We start from the raw sequence: 20462 nt of genomic DNA, 5'->3' as shown, positions 1-20462 counted from the left end.
AACTCAGGTATAGTATGGAGCAGGTTAATGTAGTAGCAATGGCTTTTGCAATGTTTTGCATCTTATTTTGTTTTAGAGTAAAATTCTGCTTTATGTTGTGAGACAGGATTTCAGTGATTGTATTCCACTGAGCTGTTATTTGGAAATGCCTACATGACACTCATAATGAAAAAGGACCACAGGCCAATTCTAGTTCAGTAAGTGTTCAAATTTCAAATACAATTTCTTTCTCTAAGGGTCGCAAATTTTAATGTATGCTACTGTTAACATGCTTTCATTTCCCCTTCCATATATATTGTACTCTCATTACTAAGGCACCAACTCTAAGAGAATATAGGCCACGCCATTATTTATTAGCTAGACATAAAATTTTACCATTTTAGAATAAGTAAATACCTAAATAATCCAACAGAAAAACTCTGGGGACCAAAAAATCCACCCATTTCTTTACGGCCTGTTCAATTCAACATGGCAAACATTTACTGATGCCAGTGATGTGACAAGTACTGTGCTAATTCCTGGAAGTCTGAGATAAATAAGAACAAAAAAATGAATTCAAAGATATATACCTCTAGGTAAATGCAATAATTTACTTCTCTTTTAAAGAGAAATAAGAGAAATAAGTGATGATAATACCTAAGTGGTTGCATTCTTGCTTTGTTTCAATTCACTATGAAACTATATAGAACCATCTTTTCCTCTCCATCTTTAAAAATTCTTCTTCTCCTTAAAATACTATCTTAAAAAAATCTTCTTTTATACTTTTTGAACCCTCACCAAAATTCCTTCCTCTGGACTCCCACATCAATGTAGTTGTCACTCAATTATTTTTCCTGTTTTATACTTTTACTAGCTGTGTGTATCTCCCTGTGAAATCATATAATACACATTTGGTCTACCTTCCTAGTTCTGGGCACACGGCTCCAAGAACCCTTCGAATTTCCTGAGCAACAGGGGCAAAAAGAATGTCGTTTGTTCATATAAGTCCCTTTCAACCATACCTGAGTTTTTGCTAATAATGTGACTCTTGATAGGTCCCTAGATAGCTTCAAGATGGGGGACTGATTGACAGAGGAACCAACCAAGGGATCAGAGGGTTGGAACTTTCAGCTCCTCACCTCCACTCCTTACTTCAGGGGACGTGCAGAAAGGAAAAGCTGGTGATTGAGTCAATCACCAATAGCCAGTGATTTAATCAATCATGCCTACATAACACGGTTGCTATAAAACCCTAGATGATGATGTCTGGAGGGCTTCTGGGTCTGTGAACACATCTGCATGCCAAGAGGGTAATGCACCCCAGATACCACGGGGACAGATGATCCTGTGCTCAGGACCTTCTGCACCTTCTACCACTTCATCTGGTGTTTGCTTATATCCTTTAAAACAAACTGGTAATAGTAAGTAAAGTGTCTCCCAAGTTCTGTGAGCTGTTATAACAAAGTATTGACACCAAGGAATTATTATAGCCAAGTCAGAGAGAATTGTGGGTAGCCTGGGGATCTACTACTTACAATTGGTGTCGGAAGCCGGGGGTAGTCTTGTGGGACTGAGTCTGAACCTATAGGATCTGTTTTAACTCCAGGTCATTACTGGAAGAATTGCAACAAACTGTATATACCCAGTTGGTGTCTCAAATTCAAGAACTGCTTGGTATGGAAAATCCACACATTTGGTGTCAGAAGTGTTGTTAGTAGAGAAACAGTATAGCTGTAGAGTCCCAATATCTTGTAAGCTTCTAGAAGCTATGCTGTCCAACATGGTAGGCACTAGCTACATGTGACTGACTAAATTAAATTACAATTAATTATATTAAATTAAATAAAAAATTAAGCTCTTCAGTCACAATGGCCACATTTCATGAAATCAATAGCCACATGTCACTAGTGGGTACTGTATTGCTCAAGAGTAATATGGAACATTTGTATGCTCATAAAAAGTTCTATTGGGCAATATTGTTCTAGAGGGAGGTTACATCTTTACCATCTCCAAGTGCCCTACACAAACAAATACAGCCCTCCTTATGATTAAAGAACCTAATCAGCAAAATAAAAGTCTGAACCTATCAGTATGTAATCAGGACCTAGAGAATGGGTACAGTTAGGGATGTAAGTTCTCTACTGATAAAGTGACAAAGCCATCTGGTGTTAATTCAGAGAAGATGACTATCCCTTCTCAATATCTGAAACTGCTGGCAGTAATCTGAACCTACACAAATAGAAATCAATGTGGTCACTCTTTTTGCACTATTATCTTGAAGTCCTGAATATTATTCTGAGCTCCTATATAAAAAATAGGTAAAATTGAAGCAAAACACATTTTAACCACTTGATACAGATCTAAAAGGATAAGGTTTTATCAGTTTAATAAAGTGACTCCTGCAGTTGACAAGGTGGTGTTTGTCATTTGTCTTCAAGACATGCAAGAACCCAGCAGGACAATTTATATTCAATCACTATGTCAGGGGAAAAGCAACTACTAAATGATTAAAGTTGCTCAAATGGGGGATTACATAAGTACATTTTGAGTTTTAAAGCCATTAAAAGACAAGTAATTTAAAATTTCAGAAAAAAATAAGGTCCAAAGTATAAGCTTTGAAGATTAATGGGGCATGCTGTATGTCAATTACAAACAAAAAGTTCTCTTGAAAGCAGTCAAAAACAAGAGGATGCTAATTAGTATTTTGTATGATTCTGGCATCTGGCAAATAAAAATAAAGATAATAATTAAAGCAAAAGTTTCTAGACTAAAATAAATCTAGAATAATGCCTCTTCCACTCGTATTTTGCTTAGATTTTTCCTGAAAACTTTTATTATTGTGAATAAACAGTTTATCATTTGGGAAGAGGTAATTGAGTATTTTGTCATCCATTTTTAACTTATAGCCTTAAAACATTCATTTAGAGAAAAAAATCTTCTCATAAGGGAATCCTGGAAAAATAAATTTTATAAAAGTTAATGATTTCTCATTAATTAGAAACTAGCATTTAAAAAAAATTTTCAGTAGATAGATACAGCAACATTTATAGCCTATTATAAAGCAAATGTCTGCCCTCCAAACTAATTGCAGATTGAATCAACTCTGAAAAACTCTGAATGCCTCTCTGTAGGCAGAATTATAAAAGACAGTAAATAAGAGAATAGGTATCTGCACACTGAGAGGTAAAACATAGCTGACATTAATAAGCAGGCATTAAGATAAGTGTCAAGACAATAAAACCCAGAAAACAGACTGCTCTAAATTCTTTAAATAAATCAAGAATAAGTCTTTGTATTCACTCAAATTCATAATCAATTTAAAATATCTCTTTTAGCTAGTATTTTTAGAAAATACATCAGGAAGCATGTTTTATGATGAGAAATCAATAGAAGTGGAGAAGGGAGACTTTCTAGGTCATGATTTTACTTCAAAAGACAACATGAGGCTAGAGGTCAAACAGTGAATGAACACTACTAATGTGCTTTGCTTCAGTTTCAAGGGAAGACCAACACAGAAATATTTCACATTTCAAGATATGTTTATATTTCCTCTTGCAACAGTATTGTAAAGGAAATGGCCAAGACAGGAGGAAAAGAACGGCAAGCAGCAACAAGATGTGAAGGTATGGTGAGAGGCTTTGAGCTGGGTGCATGCTTCAATCTCCCTGAGTCAGTCCCTCACACTCATATGCACTAGAATAATATACTCCTTACATTTCATATTTACATTAATGGTCTATATCATAGCTACATAGGAAAGAAATAATAATCCCTTGTAATTTAAAGAATGTAAGATAGCTTAACTGGGCCAGACATGGTGGCTCATGCCTGTAATCCTAGCACTTTGGGAGGCTGAGGTGGAAGGATTGCTTGAGCCCAGGAGTTTGAGACCAGCTTGGGCAATATAGTGAGACCCTGTCTCTATTTTTAAAATTAAAAAACAAAAACAACCTTAGGTCACACTCAAACTGTATCAAAAGAAAACATATTACAATTGTGATGACTGGTTAATAAGGTTGAGTAAGAAATGCCATTATAAAGTCAAAACACCTTTGTAAAGTCAAATCTCAGTAGAAAAGGCCACTAACAATTGGCTAATGGCCAGGTGCTAATGGTCTACATCATAGCTACATAGGAAAAAAAAAATGATAATCCTTTATAATTTAAGGAATTTAAAGTAGCTTAAGTTGGCCAGGCATGGTGGCTCACGCCTGTAACCCTTGCACTTTGGGAGGCTTAGGTGGAAGGATTGCTTGAGCCCAGGAGTTCAAGACCAGCTTGGGGAAACATGGAGAAACCCTGTCTCTACAAAAAATACAAAAATTAGCTGGGTGTGTTGGTGCATGCCTGTAGCCCCAGCTACTTGGGAGGCTGAGGTGGGAGGGTTGATTGAGCCTGGGAGGTCAAGGCTGCAGTGAGCTGTGATTACACCACTGCATTCAAGCCTGGGTGACCCAGAGAGACCTTGTCTCAAAAAACCAGCCAAACAACAATAAAAAAACCAACTGGCTAACCGTGCCACAAGGAAAAAACCTTAATCCAAGCTTGTCAACCAGCAGAGCATGACAGCTTTGAATGCAGTCAAGCACAGATTCGTAAACTTTCTTAAAACATTATGAGATTTGTTTTGCAATTTTGTTCTTTTTTTAGCTCATCAGCTATGGTTGGTGTTAGTGTATTTTATGTGTGGCCCAAAACAATTCTTCTCCTTCCCATATGGCCCAGGGAAGCCAAAAGATTGGAAACCCCTGCCTTAAACTAATACATTATTAGACTTCCTTCTGATAATTCTACTTTGTCAGCTTGTTTGGCAAACCCATGAAAGTCATGATTTTGATTTTCACAATGTGTCCTAGAGAGAAAAGTTGAATTCATAAAGACATTATGCATTCATGAAATGATACAAATGAAACAAACAATAACATCTCACACTTAGGAAAAAATTAACTTTAATCACAATTATTTCAACATAACATATGACATACTAGTTTAATTCCAGTATGTCAATCTGTGACATACTACTTTATTTCAAGCATCTGAAAAACCTTTGCAATATTGATTTGTACAAATCTCAATAGACAAATTAAAGGTTTTTCATATGTCTCTATTATCAGCTTATGAATAAATATACTTTTTCTCTATAACATTTTCTTGTTGCCATATTCTAGTAGCAGAATATTAATGATTTTTTTTTATTTTGACTTGAATTACAGGCCTGAAGAAGAAGACTTGTTATCACTCTTTTTATTATTTTTTTTCTTTCTTTTCTTTTTTTTTTGAGGCGGAGTCTCACTCTGTTGCCCAGGCTGGTCTCGAACTCCTGACCTCATTACCTGCCTGCCTCAGCCTCCCAAAGTGCTGGGATTACAGGCGTGAGCCATCATGCCCAGCTTATTATTTTCTCTTTTTTCTTTTTTCTTTTTTTTTTTTTTTTTTGAGACAGTTTCCCCTCTGTTGCCCATGCTGGGAAGCAATGAGATCTCAGCTCACTGCAACCTCTCCCTCCCAGGTTCAAGTGATTTTGTGCCTCAGCTTCCTGAGCAGGTGGGACTATGGGTGCGCACCACCAAATCTGGCTAATTTTTGTATTTTTGGTAGAGACGGAGTTTCACCATGTTGGCCAGGCTGCTCTCGAACTCCTGGCCTCAAGCGATCCACCCGTCTCTGCCTCTCAAAGTGCTGTGATTTTAGGCGTGAGCCACCATGCCTGGCCTATTATTTTCAAGTGCAAATTAAAACAATATGTTTGTATGATAAAAAATAAACAAAATATTAAGTGATCAAAACTGCCTGCAAAGTTACTTGTGTGCATCTCTGCTAAAATACAGAAGTTGGAAACGCATCTGAAACACGGGGTCTAGAAGGGAAAGGGAATACTACTAATGATAACGACACAAATATTTACTGTATGTTCACCCGGTACCAGCCCTTGTGCTATGTGCTCTCTCTCATCCAAGTACTGACCAGGCCTGACCCTACTTAGCTTCTGGGATCAGACGAGATAGGGCGTTCAGGGTGGTATGGGGGCAGACACCATGTTCTCTATACATTCTCTGCCCTTCCCCACCCCCACCCACTCTGACTTCCGTGGCCGCCCTCCTCCTGTATCAACCAACACCTTTTCTGGGGTCTGATGAGTGTGTGGGCATTGGGCACCTTAATCCGGCATTCGGTTCATCCCGCAGAGCCAGGTCTGCTTACCAGAAGCGGCCCACTAGGCACTCACATTCCATACCCGGCTCCACACGCCAGCAAGCCGGGCTTCTTACCCAACTAAAGTGTGAGAGTAGGTGGAGATCCTTTGGGTCGTAAAACCTCCAATCATTCACTTTACAGATGAAACCATGTGGGGTGGGTTTTGGAAGAGTGCCAGCCATCCTGAGAGAAACCTTGGAGGGAACCAGACACTAGATGGTTCCATCAGTCTTTCACCCCTATACCCAGGTTGGATGACCAATCGATTTACACATCAGGACTGCTAGGGACTTCCACTAGTTTCCTCCAGCTTTGCCCTGACCAGGCACAGTTCATCATCTTTCAGGTCCTAACACGTGCCCTGGTGCTCCACCTCTGGGGCACCGCCCTGGGTGAGATGGGCCAGTGGTGCACCCTCAGGGGACTGGAGAGGCCTCGGGATCCCACCTCAGCCAGGGAGTGCGCTGGCCTTCACCTTCACTGCGCCAAGGCGGCTTTCTTGCAAAACACTGACTCACTCACATGAGTTATTTCTTAATCCTTACAAAACCTAATAAGGGCAGTATTACTGGTATCCATATTTAACAGAGGAAAAAAACGGGGCACATGGAAATTAAATAATTTGTCCAACATCACACAGTTGGAAGCAGACTGGAAACCAGTACATTCATTTATGCAGATTGTCCTGAAAAGAGTTAATATAGTAGGCCTGAGACTGCTAACCACAGAAAGAATTGTTTGTAAGGTTGCCCCTTGGCTGATATGTGGACACTCAGATCATGAAAGGGTTTCCACTATTCTCTCACAAGAGGGGCTAAACCTAAATGTAAACCTAAAGTGTTTACATTAACAATATGGTTGATACTACACACCTGGTTTCCTTCTGGATGTCTGGAACTTTGGTGAGTGCTAGACAGAGGATACCCACATGACCAACCACTAACAAAAACCCTGAGCAATAAAAATCTCAAGCTTCTATTGAACTTCCCTGACAGACATTTTACATATGTTACAATTAGTCACAATCAGTTGCTGGGGGAATGAAGTGCATCTGTGTGACCCCACTGGGGAGGACTCCTAGGTGCTAGCATCTGGCTTCCTCCAGACTGTGTTCCATGCACCTTGACCCTTTGCTGATTATGCTTTGTCTCCTCTCATGTAATAAACCATAGCCACAACTATGACTATCTGATGAGTCATGTGAGTCCTCCTAATGAAGCATCAAACCTGTGGATGGTCTTAGGGACCCATATGCATTGATGTACACGTATGGGCACTTACTATATTAGGACCTGGGATCACAGAGATGTAGGTAAGTAAGGGAATAGCCATTATATTTGTATAGAGCTTTATAGTTTTTTAAATGTTGTTATGTACATTATTTTCTTTAATTTCCACATAACGCTGTAAAGCTGTTTTCTTTTTTTTCTTTTTGTTTTTTGAGACAGAGACTTGCTCTGTCGCCAGGCTGGAGTGCATTGGCATGATCTTGGCTCACTGCAACCTCCGCCTCCCAGGTTCAAGCGATTCTCCTGCCTCAGCCTCCCGAGTAGCTGAGACTACAGGTGCACACCACCATGCCCGGCTAATTTTTGTATTTTTAGTAGAGACAGGGTTTCACCATGTTGGCCAGGATGGTCTCGATCTCTTGACCTCGTGATCCACCCACTTCGGCCTCCCAAAGTGCTGGGATTACAGGCGTGAGCCACTGCGCCTGGCCTGTAAAGCTGTTTTCTAAGCCTATAATTCCTAGCCTTTTTGTATGTAAATGAATGAAGTGTTACATTTTTAAACTAAAGTTCACTTAAGCCAGAGCAATTCACATGTCCAAAAGTAATTCTGACAAGGATATTCTTTAATAAAATATTGGTTAGAATTATCGATATTGTGAGGTTCCTGAGAAACTGGGTCTTTATCAAGCAACACCAGATGCAAAACACAAACAAATCCAAGTCTAAATAACAATTCTCAATCACCTCTTGCTTAAGGTGTTCCTTCAATCTCAGGATTTCAAACCCTGGGCTAGAATGGCAAAGGCTGTTAACCTATCTAGGCCGCCCTAGGATGTGGCTTTCCCTTTGAAAAGTACATTCTTCTTCAGAAGAAACCATTGCGATACTAGTTAAATTAATCCTTCAGAATGATGGGAGAATTCCCGTCCACACCACAATGTTTTACCTTATCGGCCTGACGCATATAGCAGTAGAGAATTCCTCTCATGCATTTTATAGCTGAGTGCTCCAGCTCATGGGTCCTTCCCTTGTCATCATCAATTCGCCTGGGTGAGAGAGATAACTCATGAAACTAATTGGAAATGCATTTGAAAAGGAAGCAGAGCTTTTGATAATTAAGTATTTAACTATCTGGCTAATCCTGTGTTCTGGTGATGTCTACCAATTCTGTCACAGTGAAACTCCATTTTCCCAGCAAAAGTAGAAATGCTGCAATGAAAAAAAAATCCTATGATGAAACTTAGGCAGATTTTTCCTTCTTTCAAGGAAGCAAGCCAACTTCTTTTAAAAATAGTATACAATATTTCTACAGCGATTTGGCTGAAACTTTAAAGAATATTTCTATTGGAAAAAAATCCACCAACAGATTGTTTTAAATTCACTGTTATGAACTAAAGCTGATTTTTATTAGCTATCCCTGTAGGTTATGCAATGGCCGCTTGGATTTAAGTAGCAGCCACAAGTTAAGGTAGGTGCTGCCTTTCTTTGCTCTGCAGTGTGTTCAATACCATCAGAGCAGGCATTTAGTCATAGTCAAGGATGCCTTCAACTAAACACACATCCAGGATGATACATGATGTATTTTGGCATAGAGCTTTATATTCTTTGGTTTTAATTTAAAATCAATTGAGCATATTTTACATCTCTTGCTTTTAAAAATAAAGAACACCTAAAATCTAACTATTTAGTTTAATAGTTAGATTAACCTAAATACCTTAACCAAACCTAGTTTGGTTAAGATGTTCCTTCTGTCCACAAGTTGCTTTTTATTATAAATCAGTAACTTTCCAAAGGTGGATGAGAATCACCCACTACTAAAAAATAAAAGTGATTTATTCATTGTTTCACTTAATCTTAACTAAAAATATCTGGCAATCATTCTCACATGATTAAAAAGTATCACTTCTCTCCTTAAAAAGTATATTATAATTACCTCCCAGTTAAATCATAGATTGCATATACCATTCACTATTGGGAAGAATGATTATTATTTTGACATAGTATGGTGAATGTCAGTAAAAAGTAAGTTATTCATCATTAGCACATCATACCTTCTTTTTCATGCTGGCATTGCACAAAAATTAGCATGAATTTGCTCTATACAGTACTTTTCCCCTTGAGGTCAGACACAAGTGTTTTAATAGAGGCATATTCTACATAGATAGTGTGCCTGCAAAATGAGGACTTTAAAGTCTCTATCTGATGTTAGAAGCATTCTGGGAAAAGGTTAATATCTGACTTTTGTCCATATGCTGCCTATCCTCTTGTATTTGTTAAAGCAATTTTCCTGTAAACATTTTATTTAGAAAAATTTCAAATCTACAAAAAAGTTAAAAGGATGCTATAATGAATAAGTCTTTTGGTCGTCACTTAGATTCACCATTTTAACATTAGCTTGCATTCTCTATAATATTTTCTTCATTGTTTGAAAGTAAGCTACGAACATCATGACCCTTCACTCCTACACACTTCAGAAGTATCTCTAGAAAACAAGGAGATTTGCCTACATAACCATAATACCATTATTATACCTAAGAAATTTAATACTGATACTATATGATCTAATACATAGTCTTGGCTCAAATACTGAAGTGTCCCAAAAACATACTTTCATACTTTACAGTATTTTTAAATGCATGACCCAATTAAGGATCATGTATTGCATTTGGCTGTTGTATTTCTTTAGTCTCTTTTAGTCTAGCCATCCTCATACTTATTTCCTAGTCATCTGTAATACTGACATTTTTAAAGAGTCCAGGCAAGTTGTCTTATAAACAGCCACAATTCAGCTTTGTTCATATGTAGACTCATGTTAGATAACTTGGTAAGATGTTAGCACAAGGTGTATTTCCCATTGTGTCAAATCAGGAATGGCAATTAACATCAGTCTGTCTCATTATTGGCTTCACCATTTGGTGAAGGTGCTACTGATGCTCCCTGTACTCCTAAGATCAGTACCAGTTTTACATTTAATAAAGCCATATTGTCCTTACCTAGAATATGTAAGGAAATGCTTTTAGTGATGTCAGCATTCAAGTGTGCTAAAGAAGACTACTGCATCTTATCTCAGTGTTTGATTTTCTTTTTAAAATCCAACACATCAGTAATTTCAAACAGATAAATCGTGTTCATGTGGAAGATACAATTTTTAAATCAGAAACATAACTATGGATCGCTTTCAGGAAATTAATATTCAGAAAGTTAATCTTACTGATCTTAATTATGGTTAAAATGTATTACAATTATGTGTTAGCATCCACATTCAGTGCTTTCTACATATAATGAAATAAATAAAGGAGAAATTTTGTATTGTCTAACTATTTCTTTTTTTTTTTTAACTTTATACAATTATTTCACTTATGACCAAACTTAATAAGAGATACTATGCTGAAGTGCAGTGATAAAACCAGAAATTGGGTAGGGGAAAAGAATTCTGACCCTGGCTCTATCATTAATGAGTTGCATCATTTTGAACAAATTTGTTAAGTACTTGGGGTTCTAATTTTATTATCTGCAACATTTAGTCATCATCAGTTCTCTCCATTATTGAAACCAATCAACACAATGAGAGTGGGCAGGTAGTTCATTCTACCAATGACTAAAAATGGTGATTTACAAACCTAGAGACAAGAAGTTTTGGTCACAAAGTCATAAAATCTTAGAACTGGTCTGATATAAGCTCTTAGAAAAATGAAACGGTTTAGGCTGGGCATGGTGGTTCACACCTGTAATCCCAGCACTTTGGGAGGCCAAGGCTGGCAGATCACTTGAGGTCAAGATTTCGAGACCAGCCTGGCCAACAGAAACCCCATCTCTATCAAAAATACAAAAATTAGCCAGGCGTGGTAGTGCATGCCTGTAATCCCAGCTAGTAGGGAGGCTGAGGCAGCAGAATTGCTTGAACCCAGGGGGCAGAGGTTGCAGTGAGCCAAGGTCATGCCACTGCATTGCAGCCTGGGTAACCTCATCTCAAAAAAAAAAAGAAAATGAAAAGGTTTAGAGGCCTAAAAAGGGATGTGAGCAGTCATAGGTCGCACAGTGAGTCAGCAGCAGAGCCAAAAGATAGCGGCTCAATTAGTCTTGGTCCTACAAAACCCTATTATCCACTCTCAAAGTTACGAGGAGAACACACACCAGCTCACCTGTATGCAAGAGCCAAAGCCCAGGCCCCAGCAGCGCAGTATAGGCTGTCCTGGATCTTGGCCTTCTGGTCACCACCGCATGTTTTAGTGGGAAAGAGACCGGTAGTTGGACTTTGATACAGCAGCAATGTTGACTTGACTGCAATTGAGGACAAGACAAAGAATGAACTGTACAGTCAGCGACTTTCCTTGGGCTAAATGTTTTAATCTTCTTTGGTTTCCTCATCCCACTTCTGACGATTTTGTTTCTAAACTTGCTATAGTACAATACTTCTGAAGATGTGGAAACAACTTCATGTCACTCCAGCCTTAGTGGGAATCCACCCTACATAAAGAAATCTTTCCAGTTTTAGGAAAGGACTCAGCTAATTAGGACTTAAAAAGCCTTTAGCACATCTCCAGTAATGTCAATGTGTGTTAGAAATCTTATTAGGACAACATCAGGTACAGAGGGAAAAAGAGATGAAGCAAAAGACTAAGTATAATATTTTTTAAAAATCAGTTCAATAGGTAAACTTAAAGCAAATGCACAAGAAAGAGTAGCATACATTTAGTAAATCACAAAGCCACCTCAACTGCTACAGTAAATGATCAACAATGTAGGAAGGGCGAGGGGAAGATCACAGAACAGGCTGGAATCCTGTGTTTCACTGATGACTAAATTGTGCCTGGTCTTCAGAGGGAGTCTACAGTATTCATTTTACTTTATTGTACAGGTTAGGAAAATGTTTAACATTTTAAAACTGAATTCCATCCATATATAACATGAACACAGCAGCAAGTAAATAATTTTTTATGAACATTTTACTTAAGTCTGAAATTAATATTTTATTATCTTTTATAAATGAGCTCTAAAATAGGAAAACACAAACACTAAAATTACATTTACTAAAAACTATTTTATTGCTATCTAACTATAAATGGATGGGTAATGCTTTTCCTAAAATGCATTACATTAACCTTATCTAGATTGGCAACTACCCTTTTGTTTTGAGACAGGGTCTCACTCTATAACCCAGGCTGGAATGCAGTTGCATGATCATAAGCTCACTGCAGCCTCTAACCCCTGGGCTTCAGTGATCCTCCCAACTTAGACTCCCAAGTAGCTGGGTCTACAGGCAATCGCCACCATGCCAGGCTAATTTTTAAACTTTTTGTAGAGATGGAGGGCTTGTTATGTTGCCCAGGCTGGTCTCGAACTCTTGGGTTCAAGCAGTCCTCACATGCTGGTCTCCCAAAGGGCTAGGATTACAGGCATGAGAGATCACACCTAGCCATGTTATCTACTTTTTAGGATAGTTTTCCAAAGGCAGAAAACATTCTGTTCTGGAGCTGGGATCACAGGAGTGCACCACCACTCATGGCTGATTTTTGTATTTTTAGTAGAGACGGGGTTTCTCCATGTTGGTCAGGCTGGTCTCAAACTCCTGACCTTGTGATCCACCCGCCTCAGCCTCCCAAAGTGCTGGGATTACAGGCGTGAGCCACCATGCCCAGCCTCTAAATTGATCTTATCATAATCATTTCTTTCAGAAAACCAGGGTATTTATTATTTTTCCCAGTGTAAAAAATTAGTCCTAAGAGTCCAAAATACACAATTGACATAAAAAAATATAGTTAGTTCTCTTTAGCTAGTTATTGCCAAAAAGATAATAAAATGGGCAACTTAATGCAAGCAAGAATCTTGACCAAAAGAAGTAAGATTGAAGTTTCATATGAAGTTGAAATAGACCAAAAAATCCATCATCTTAGGGGGAGAGAAATCAAATTTTATGTTTTCTGCCATCCTAGTACAAGTAAATGGCATAAAAGGTAAACTGACAAAAAGATTAATATGCATTCTAATAGATGGTCTGACAAACAAAGAGGAGGCCCTTATACACATATCTGAAAGTTGCTTACTCACATTGAAAAACAAAATTTGCAAGGCTGGTCCTGGAAAAACAAAATAAAACAAACAAAACACAAGCGCCCTGATATTAATAATACTAACTTGTGATTATCTCTTGTATCTCAATGAATTAGAAACGGATATAAAAAGTTTAGGACTATCTGGGAACCATGTTTAGGTAAATGAGCAAATTAATACTTATATGAAATATCTGTGTATTAATCAAGAAACATCCTCAAGGTCTCAAATCTGGTAATGTTTAGGAAGATTAAAAAAACACAGAAGATATTGGTGACAGTTTTCAAATTCTTCAAGGGCCAGATATGATCTGCCAGATTCCTTTTATAGTCCTGATATCGACATACAATTGGAATACACAGCTACTTAAGCACTGAAAGTACCCCAAATCCCAATGACAGAACAATATCATCCACATAATGTACATAATTTAACTAGGGCAAGGGGAATACTAATCGCAGATACCTAAGGACACGTTTTCCTCAGGTTTTACTCACCAATTCTGTAATAATGGTCCAACTTATCCCAGAGAGTTTCATTATCAGGTCTTGGAAGATTAATGCTTTTAAGAGGTTCATAAACTGAGCCTAAAAGAAAAAATAAAAACCCATCAAATTCAGTCATTTTCACAAAGATAAACAAAGAAAAACTCTAAACAAATGAAGAAGCAGTGCTTAATCTAACTTCCATTATTTTATGTGAAGTACCATACTTTACTACTTGTAAACCTTCTTGCTGGGGGAACAAGAGGGGGAATAAAGTACCTTTGAAAATAAATACAGAAGAACTTGAAATGTCATGGGATATTCCCACCCTTACCTCCAGCACTCAATCCAACTAACTGATGTGTACATGGTCCAAACAACTAAGTGTCACTAATACTCATGTGGTAGTCATTTGTCAATAGATTCTAGTTATTAAGAAATATGTCTAATTATGGGACCATAAATCCAAACTTCATTCCTTATGCTAATGTTTCATTACACAAATTTTTCTCAAATAATCATACCCCCAAACCCTCAAGGAAAGAAGATAATGTTCACATACTCCAAAGCCATCCACTCCACGAATATTCAGCTAGGTTTCATGCTGAAATTCCTAATCCTCTACTTTCTCCCAGGGAGATGATATTCTTGCCTTATTATCTGTACTATAAGCAGATCATTTCTACTTCTCAGCCTTGAAAACTACTCAAAGGTGTTAGCAGAGTCAGCTGCTCAAAAGCTACAAAATACACAATAATCATGATAATTTGCCACAAAATGGATATAGAAAATTGTTCACTTGACTAGTGCACTTTCTCAACTGCTAACTGAAAGACAGACATCTGAACCTTCAGCCATCAGACTATGTACTGTCTCTCGTTCTTGTTAAAAGCAATCAGAAATTATAAACATCTCAAGGTCACAATTAATCCACCTCTGGATTCAGGTAATGTATACCATATAGCCTAAGAACATAGCACAAAAATGAACCTATAATTTACCTAGTTGGGGAAATCACATTGGCACAGATTAAGATTCTGTTTTTAAAGAAAATTAAAGCCTTTATACTCATAAAATTGCTATGTCCAACACGCTAGTTTAAAGCCAAGGTTTTGGGAAGCCTTTATGTTTAGGCAGATAGTAACATTAAGAAGAAAGTAAAGAAAGAGTGTATACATTCAGGCAACAGTCTCATTATCTTTTGTTGAAAAGATAGACTAAGTACTGTCTCTCATTCTTGTTAAAAGCACTCAGAAATTAAAAACAACTCAAGGTCACAATTAATCCATCTCTGGATTCAGGTAATGTATACCATATAGTCTAAGAACATAGCACAAAAATGAACCTATAATTTACCTAGTGGCAGAAATCACATTGGCACAGATTAAGATTCTGTTTTTAAAGAAAATTAAAGCCTTTATGCTCATAAAATTGCTGTGTCCAACATCCTAGTTTAAAGCCAAGGTTTTGGGAAGCCTTTATGTTTACGCAGATAGTAACAATAAGAAGAACGTAAAGAAAGGGCCTATACATTCAGGCAACAGTCTCATTATCTTCTGCTGAAAAGATAGGTAATTTGTAGATAAGACTTGCTCTGAGCGAAAAGAAGATTTTCTTACAAGAGTATTCACAATGGCACCAACAGGAATGGGTCCATAGTGAGGAACGGAGAGACCTATCAACATACAGAACATCAGTACTCCTTTCCTGCTTCAAAGGAAAGGACCCAGCCCCCTCCAGTCATGCCCTTGCCTTCCTGTATTCAACTAGCTCCAGGCAGGTATAAGCATATGGGTAGCCTGGCAATCAGAAAGGAGTAATATGCCACTGCTAGAGCATAAGGTAATAAGCTCTAGGAGTCTATACACTCCCAGTGAAGCTCATTCACTATGAAAGAAAATAAATTAGGTACAAATAATCATAATTTATAAATTGTGCATATGTATATATAAAAATTAAAGGGGACACCTTTGCTGAGGTGGAAGAATTGCGGGTAACATTTCTGTTTTTATTTAGATCTCTATTAGTAGAGGTAGTATTTTGCTTTACATACAAAACATAAATCACCAAGAGCTGAGTATATAATTCCATTAAAATTAAATGATACATGAGCATATGGATATAGAATATGCAAACTTAAATCAACCTGCATTACAATGGTAGGTGAATTGATTTTGAGAGATTGTTTTGATGATATTTATACCAAGATTTTAGATTTAAAAATATTTATTTTTAAAAGTGCTAGGATATTTAAGAACTAAGGGACTATAGTGATTCTGTCATCTAATTTTTCTTAAAAAAAAAAAAAAAGGAGTTCTGTTAGAGGCAACAATAAATAAACAAAAGGAAAATCAGACCTCTCAAGAAAATAAGTATCTATTCAGTAAGAGGAAAAATAGAAGATGTTCAAAGCATAGCAGAAAAGGGTAAAAGTAAAATCATCTAAATTATACATTCAAAGAACGCCCATGATAAGTCAAGAACAGCTTGGTTAGATAAATGTTATTATTTTAGTGATCATCATTGTATTGTTTCTAAAGTAACTACATAAAATTAAACAAGGATGTTCTACACAATTAACAAGGATGTTCTACACAATTTATGGTAAACAATACCACAAATCTAAGTCAAAGGAAAAGTAATCAATGTTAACATTTTAAACAAAAATAGGACATCTGGAAAGCATCAATGCCAGTAAAAATGGAGACAGCAATTAATAGAGCATGAATTCCCAAAGCAAATTAAAGAGCTACAAAATAACAGAAAATTCTACTAAATGTTCCAATTGAAATGAAATTGTAAAATGTTAATTTTTCTTTTCCATGCTTTTCCCATTCGCATTATGTCTATACGCAAACATCACAAAGTAAAATAAAACTTATCAATGATAGGAGAAAAATAGCTCAGAGCAGACTGAGCTAGGTGAGGTATGCAAAACTTACCAGGCTCAGGAAGACAAGAGTAAGGGACTTCAATCACACTTTCCTTCCTATGCACCCACACCCAAGGGCCATGTTTACAGGCATTTTTGTTCCTGACTAGCTGCCTTACCCATTATCTTCCAGTTCCTGGAATTTGTGATACAAAGAACAATATAGAGCTAATCAATAACTTTTATTATATTAATATAAGTTACTGGAAACACAACTTAGAAGCTGCCTCTTTCCTTTAAAATCCACCTGTAACTGATGCTAATCAGAAGATATATTCAGGGCAGCTTCTATCTATGCTTCCACATAGATTTAGGCTTGAATACTCTATAATGAATCACATTTTCGGAATCTAGTTATTTAAGGTTAACATTTTGGTACCCTAGATGAGATCGGAAGTGGACCTCTAGAGAGCCCCACCACTTTACCAGCAATCAGCACCTTGGTACCAATACGATAAGTCCTCCTTCACCCAACCTTGCCAAAGTCAGCAGGAATCTCTGCTAAGGCCCCTGTTGGGATCTGAATCCTCCTGGCTTGATTAAGGATTAAGACTTTATTCAATTTGTACATATTCTTAACTAGTTGAGGTTGGAAGTGAAGCTCTATAAAAGGCAAGAGTTTCATTTGTTATTCTCTAGAGATCTGTTGACCTCGGATTTGTGACTTTCATTTTTCTCTGAAGTTAAGGTTTTATTTTGAACTACTAGTTGGAGTTTTTCAACCTTTTCTATAGTTTAAACTTTGGTCTTTGAAAAGAGGAAGTGAATCTTTGAGGCTTAAGTGAAAAACATGTAATTTTAAAAACCAGTTAAATTCTGAAGCTTGGTTCAATTGATAAATCTAAAATGTTCTTGAGTGACCAAAATAATAAAAGGCTCTCATGAGTCCCACTAGGTTTCTGGTCATTCAGGAAGGAAAACGAAAATTATGGACAACTATCTCTAAAACCTAGACTTTGTCCTTAAAGGGTGACCCACCTTTAGAAACACCAGCTGGATTTATATTTAATGCTTATGGTGCCTCTTCATGCTAACATTTAGAAAACTGGTCACACGTAACTAAAGACGACCCCAAATTACAACGGTCGAAATAGTGTACTTTTAAAATACCTCAACTAGTTTATCTGTACTCTCAATTTTAAAAAGCTAGCTCTAAAATAAAATAACTAGGAGAGCTATTTTCAATGATACTTAGAAGTTTCTAAAAGAGGTTCTGACAAAGTTATTTCTTTGCAAAAGGAAAATGTAAAATTTTATAAAGTGACTTTTAAAATGAAAAGTGCTGCTGAAATTGTTCCTCTTCCTCTTTCTGTTTATTCTAACTGCTCTTCCCTTCCCCCCTCCTGCTCCTGGTGTACTGGCCTCATTTCAGGAATGAGACAGCAAGCATAAAGAGGTCCCCAGAGAACTTCCAACTGGCCTGCACACTGGGAGGAGTGTGCAACGGGGTGGAGCCTCAGGAAGTGCGCACTGTTTGCCAGAGGGAGGAGCCTGATCTCCCCTGTTCCAGGGTGGTACCTAGGATTCAATCTATGAGGCGGAAGCCAGCTAGCAAGACTTTGGCTTTGCTGAGACTCTCTGTTTACCTTTGTTTTCCTTTTTGCCCGATAAATTTTTCTTGCCCTTTAAAGTGCCTGCAAGCCTAATCTCTCATGGTTGTGTGACAAGGACCCCATTTTTAGGTGAACTAAGGAGAAAGTCCTACAACAGTTTAGCACCCAACGTGGGGCTTAAGAAAGGGTGAGTGAGATGCAAACCAAATCTATTTTTATCTCATTTTTAAGCCTTTTCATCCTCAGACTTCTGAGGGCAGGGGAAACCATGCCCCAACCCCTGTCACTCCCAGGTGTTGAGAAGGTCAGCCTCAGTCTCCATGGCATTTTCCTTTCTTTTTTGTGACGGAAGGGCGAGCAGCAGCTCCCGCCACCCTCCCCTCCCTGCCAAGGCTGGGGTGCGTGAACCAAGGGTGCCCAACAGCAGGCAGCTCTCCCTGCCATGCATCCATAGAGCCTTCCGCTCCCCCAGCCAGAAGGTCCCACTCCCTTGAACAGTAATGAAGTCTTTCTCACTGATGGAGGCATCCATTTGCATAAAAATAAGAGGTTCCTCTTTAGGCATTTTAAACTGGTTTTTTCTTTCCTTTTCTCCACCAGATCAGCAGTTGACTTTTAAATTAGCTTTTTTTTCCTTTTAGAAGACATTTTAACTAGGCTAGGAATGATAAGGATCACTGTTTATATTCTCAGTAGAGTTTTAATTGTGAAAAAGGATTTGTGAGGCTGGTCTTAATCTGTAGCCAATCTAGTGTACTTTGTCCATCTTTCCATAGCAAACTTTGTGGCAGGCCTCCATTCTGTTTTACATCCTTGGGAGCAAGGCCTGCAACCACGTGGCAATGTTTTGTTCTAGCCTCACCATTTTACAATGGCAGCCAGGAGTTCAATCCTGCCTTAGGAAATGAGTTCTTTCTAGTTTGATATCTGCAGGACCTTTGCCATTTTTTGATTCCCTGCCCCTCCACAAACTGACTTGGATTTTCTTTCTCTGAGCCTTTAGTAAAGTTTGAAAGCCAGAAATATCAGCTGTTTGGCCTGGCTAAAGTCAGGTATTAAGAAATTTTAAAAGGACCTTATTAAAGAGTGCTATGGCTAAAAGTCAGTTTAATTAAAAGCAGATATTCAAGCTCCAACAGCCTGGGACTCCTTGGGAAAAACACGGGGCGCCAGATACCCCATTTTGCAAAAAACCTCTGTTTTCCTCATGAAACCCCAGGAACTGGAAGTGGATAAATCCCTCTCAGAATTTAGGGTTCTGTTCTGTTTTGCATTGTGTTATCTGGCATTTTTTACTTTTGGGAGTATCAGAAATTACTTCACATTATGAGAGATACATAAAGACTGGCAAATGAAAGGTCTTGCAACTACTGAATCTTCTTCTAGTCTGCCTGTCAGTGTAGCTATATATGTGTTGAGTGTGATGTCTATAAAAAGACCTCTAAGTAATTGGCCTAAAGGAAGAAAAGTGCTTGGATGAAATATTTTTTAAAGGGAAGATAAAAGCTATGGTACCTTTTAGTTCACGTGACTTTAATCTTTGGGAAATAACAACAGCCTTAAAGATTATTAGTAAAATGCAGATGTCACCAATATGTAAATAGGAGGACTAAATTATGCAGGTTAGATACTAGGCTCACTAAATGTTTTAAGGTTACAAACTGCCTTTTGGGTTTTAAGAACTATTTGACTTGCTTGCTTCACAACTGGTAAGGCAATTGACATATAGACATAGTTCTATATGTCTGTAAGGGACATATACTTCCTTACAAACATATAGAACTATATGTCTGTCCCCTTATAGACATATAGAATTAACCACACCCTTACTTATGCTGGAAGGAGTCAATTATGCTGGCTGTATCTGGCACACAATTAAAACAACTTGCCAGGATTTACATTAAAGTTCAAATTGCTAGGAGGTACCATTAAAACACATAATTGAAACTACTGGAAATAGATTTACATGCTAGGTGTATAAGAACAGTAAAATGTGTTTTTAATGAAAGATTATTAGAAGATAGGAAAATGTAAA

General features: G+C 37.7%; 1 protein-coding gene and 1 pseudogene across 3 annotated transcripts in view, besides 4 other annotated features; both read right to left on the bottom strand.

The window, feature by feature from the left end:
* Nucleotides 1-20462, bottom strand: part of PHKB (phosphorylase kinase regulatory subunit beta) — a 240225-nt gene that overhangs the window by 190081 nt on the left and 29682 nt on the right. For all 3 annotated transcript variants that reach the window (NM_001363837.1, NM_001031835.3, NM_000293.3), the window contains 3 exons: nt 13955-14044; nt 11549-11687; nt 8353-8452 (listed from right to left, as the gene is read on the bottom strand). In NM_001363837.1, coding sequence (NP_001350766.1) covers nt 8353-8452; nt 11549-11687; nt 13955-14044 — 329 coding nt within the window. The remainder of the gene's footprint in view (nt 1-8352; nt 8453-11548; nt 11688-13954; nt 14045-20462) is intronic.
* Nucleotides 5900-6011, bottom strand: RNA5SP425 (RNA, 5S ribosomal pseudogene 425; annotated as a pseudogene).
* Nucleotides 11199-11366: a silencer, noted in NCBI's record as "fragment chr16:47533988-47534155 (GRCh37/hg19 assembly coordinates)". NCBI's record gives its function as "represses an EF-1alpha promoter that drives an FKBP-Casp9 reporter gene in an ReSE screen in K562 erythroleukemia cells {active_cell/tissue: K562}" and the evidence as "EXISTENCE:reporter gene assay evidence [ECO:0000049][PMID:32094911]".
* Nucleotides 11491-11785: an enhancer, noted in NCBI's record as "tiled region #10524; HepG2 Activating DNase matched - State 5:Enh". NCBI's record gives its function as "activates a minimal TATA promoter and a strong SV40 promoter by Sharpr-MPRA in HepG2 cells {active_cell/tissue: HepG2}" and the evidence as "EXISTENCE:reporter gene assay evidence [ECO:0000049][PMID:27701403]".
* Nucleotides 18457-18526: an enhancer, noted in NCBI's record as "active region_10786". NCBI's record gives its function as "activates an Ori minimal core promoter by ATAC-STARR-seq in GM12878 lymphoblastoid cells {active_cell/tissue: GM12878}" and the evidence as "EXISTENCE:reporter gene assay evidence [ECO:0000049][PMID:35858748]".
* Nucleotides 18818-19340: an enhancer, noted in NCBI's record as "H3K4me1 hESC enhancer chr16:47526014-47526536 (GRCh37/hg19 assembly coordinates)". NCBI's record gives its function as "activates a minimal SCP1, AML or CMV promoter by ChIP-STARR-seq in naive H9 embryonic stem cells {active_cell/tissue: H9 hESC(naive)}" and the evidence as "EXISTENCE:reporter gene assay evidence [ECO:0000049][PMID:30033119]".

The sequence above is a fragment of the Homo sapiens genome, chromosome 16 (assembly GCF_000001405.40).
Source record: "Homo sapiens chromosome 16, GRCh38.p14 Primary Assembly".
Taxonomy (NCBI): domain Eukaryota; kingdom Metazoa; phylum Chordata; class Mammalia; order Primates; family Hominidae; genus Homo; species Homo sapiens.
This window is presented reverse-complemented; position numbering and strand designations above follow the sequence as displayed.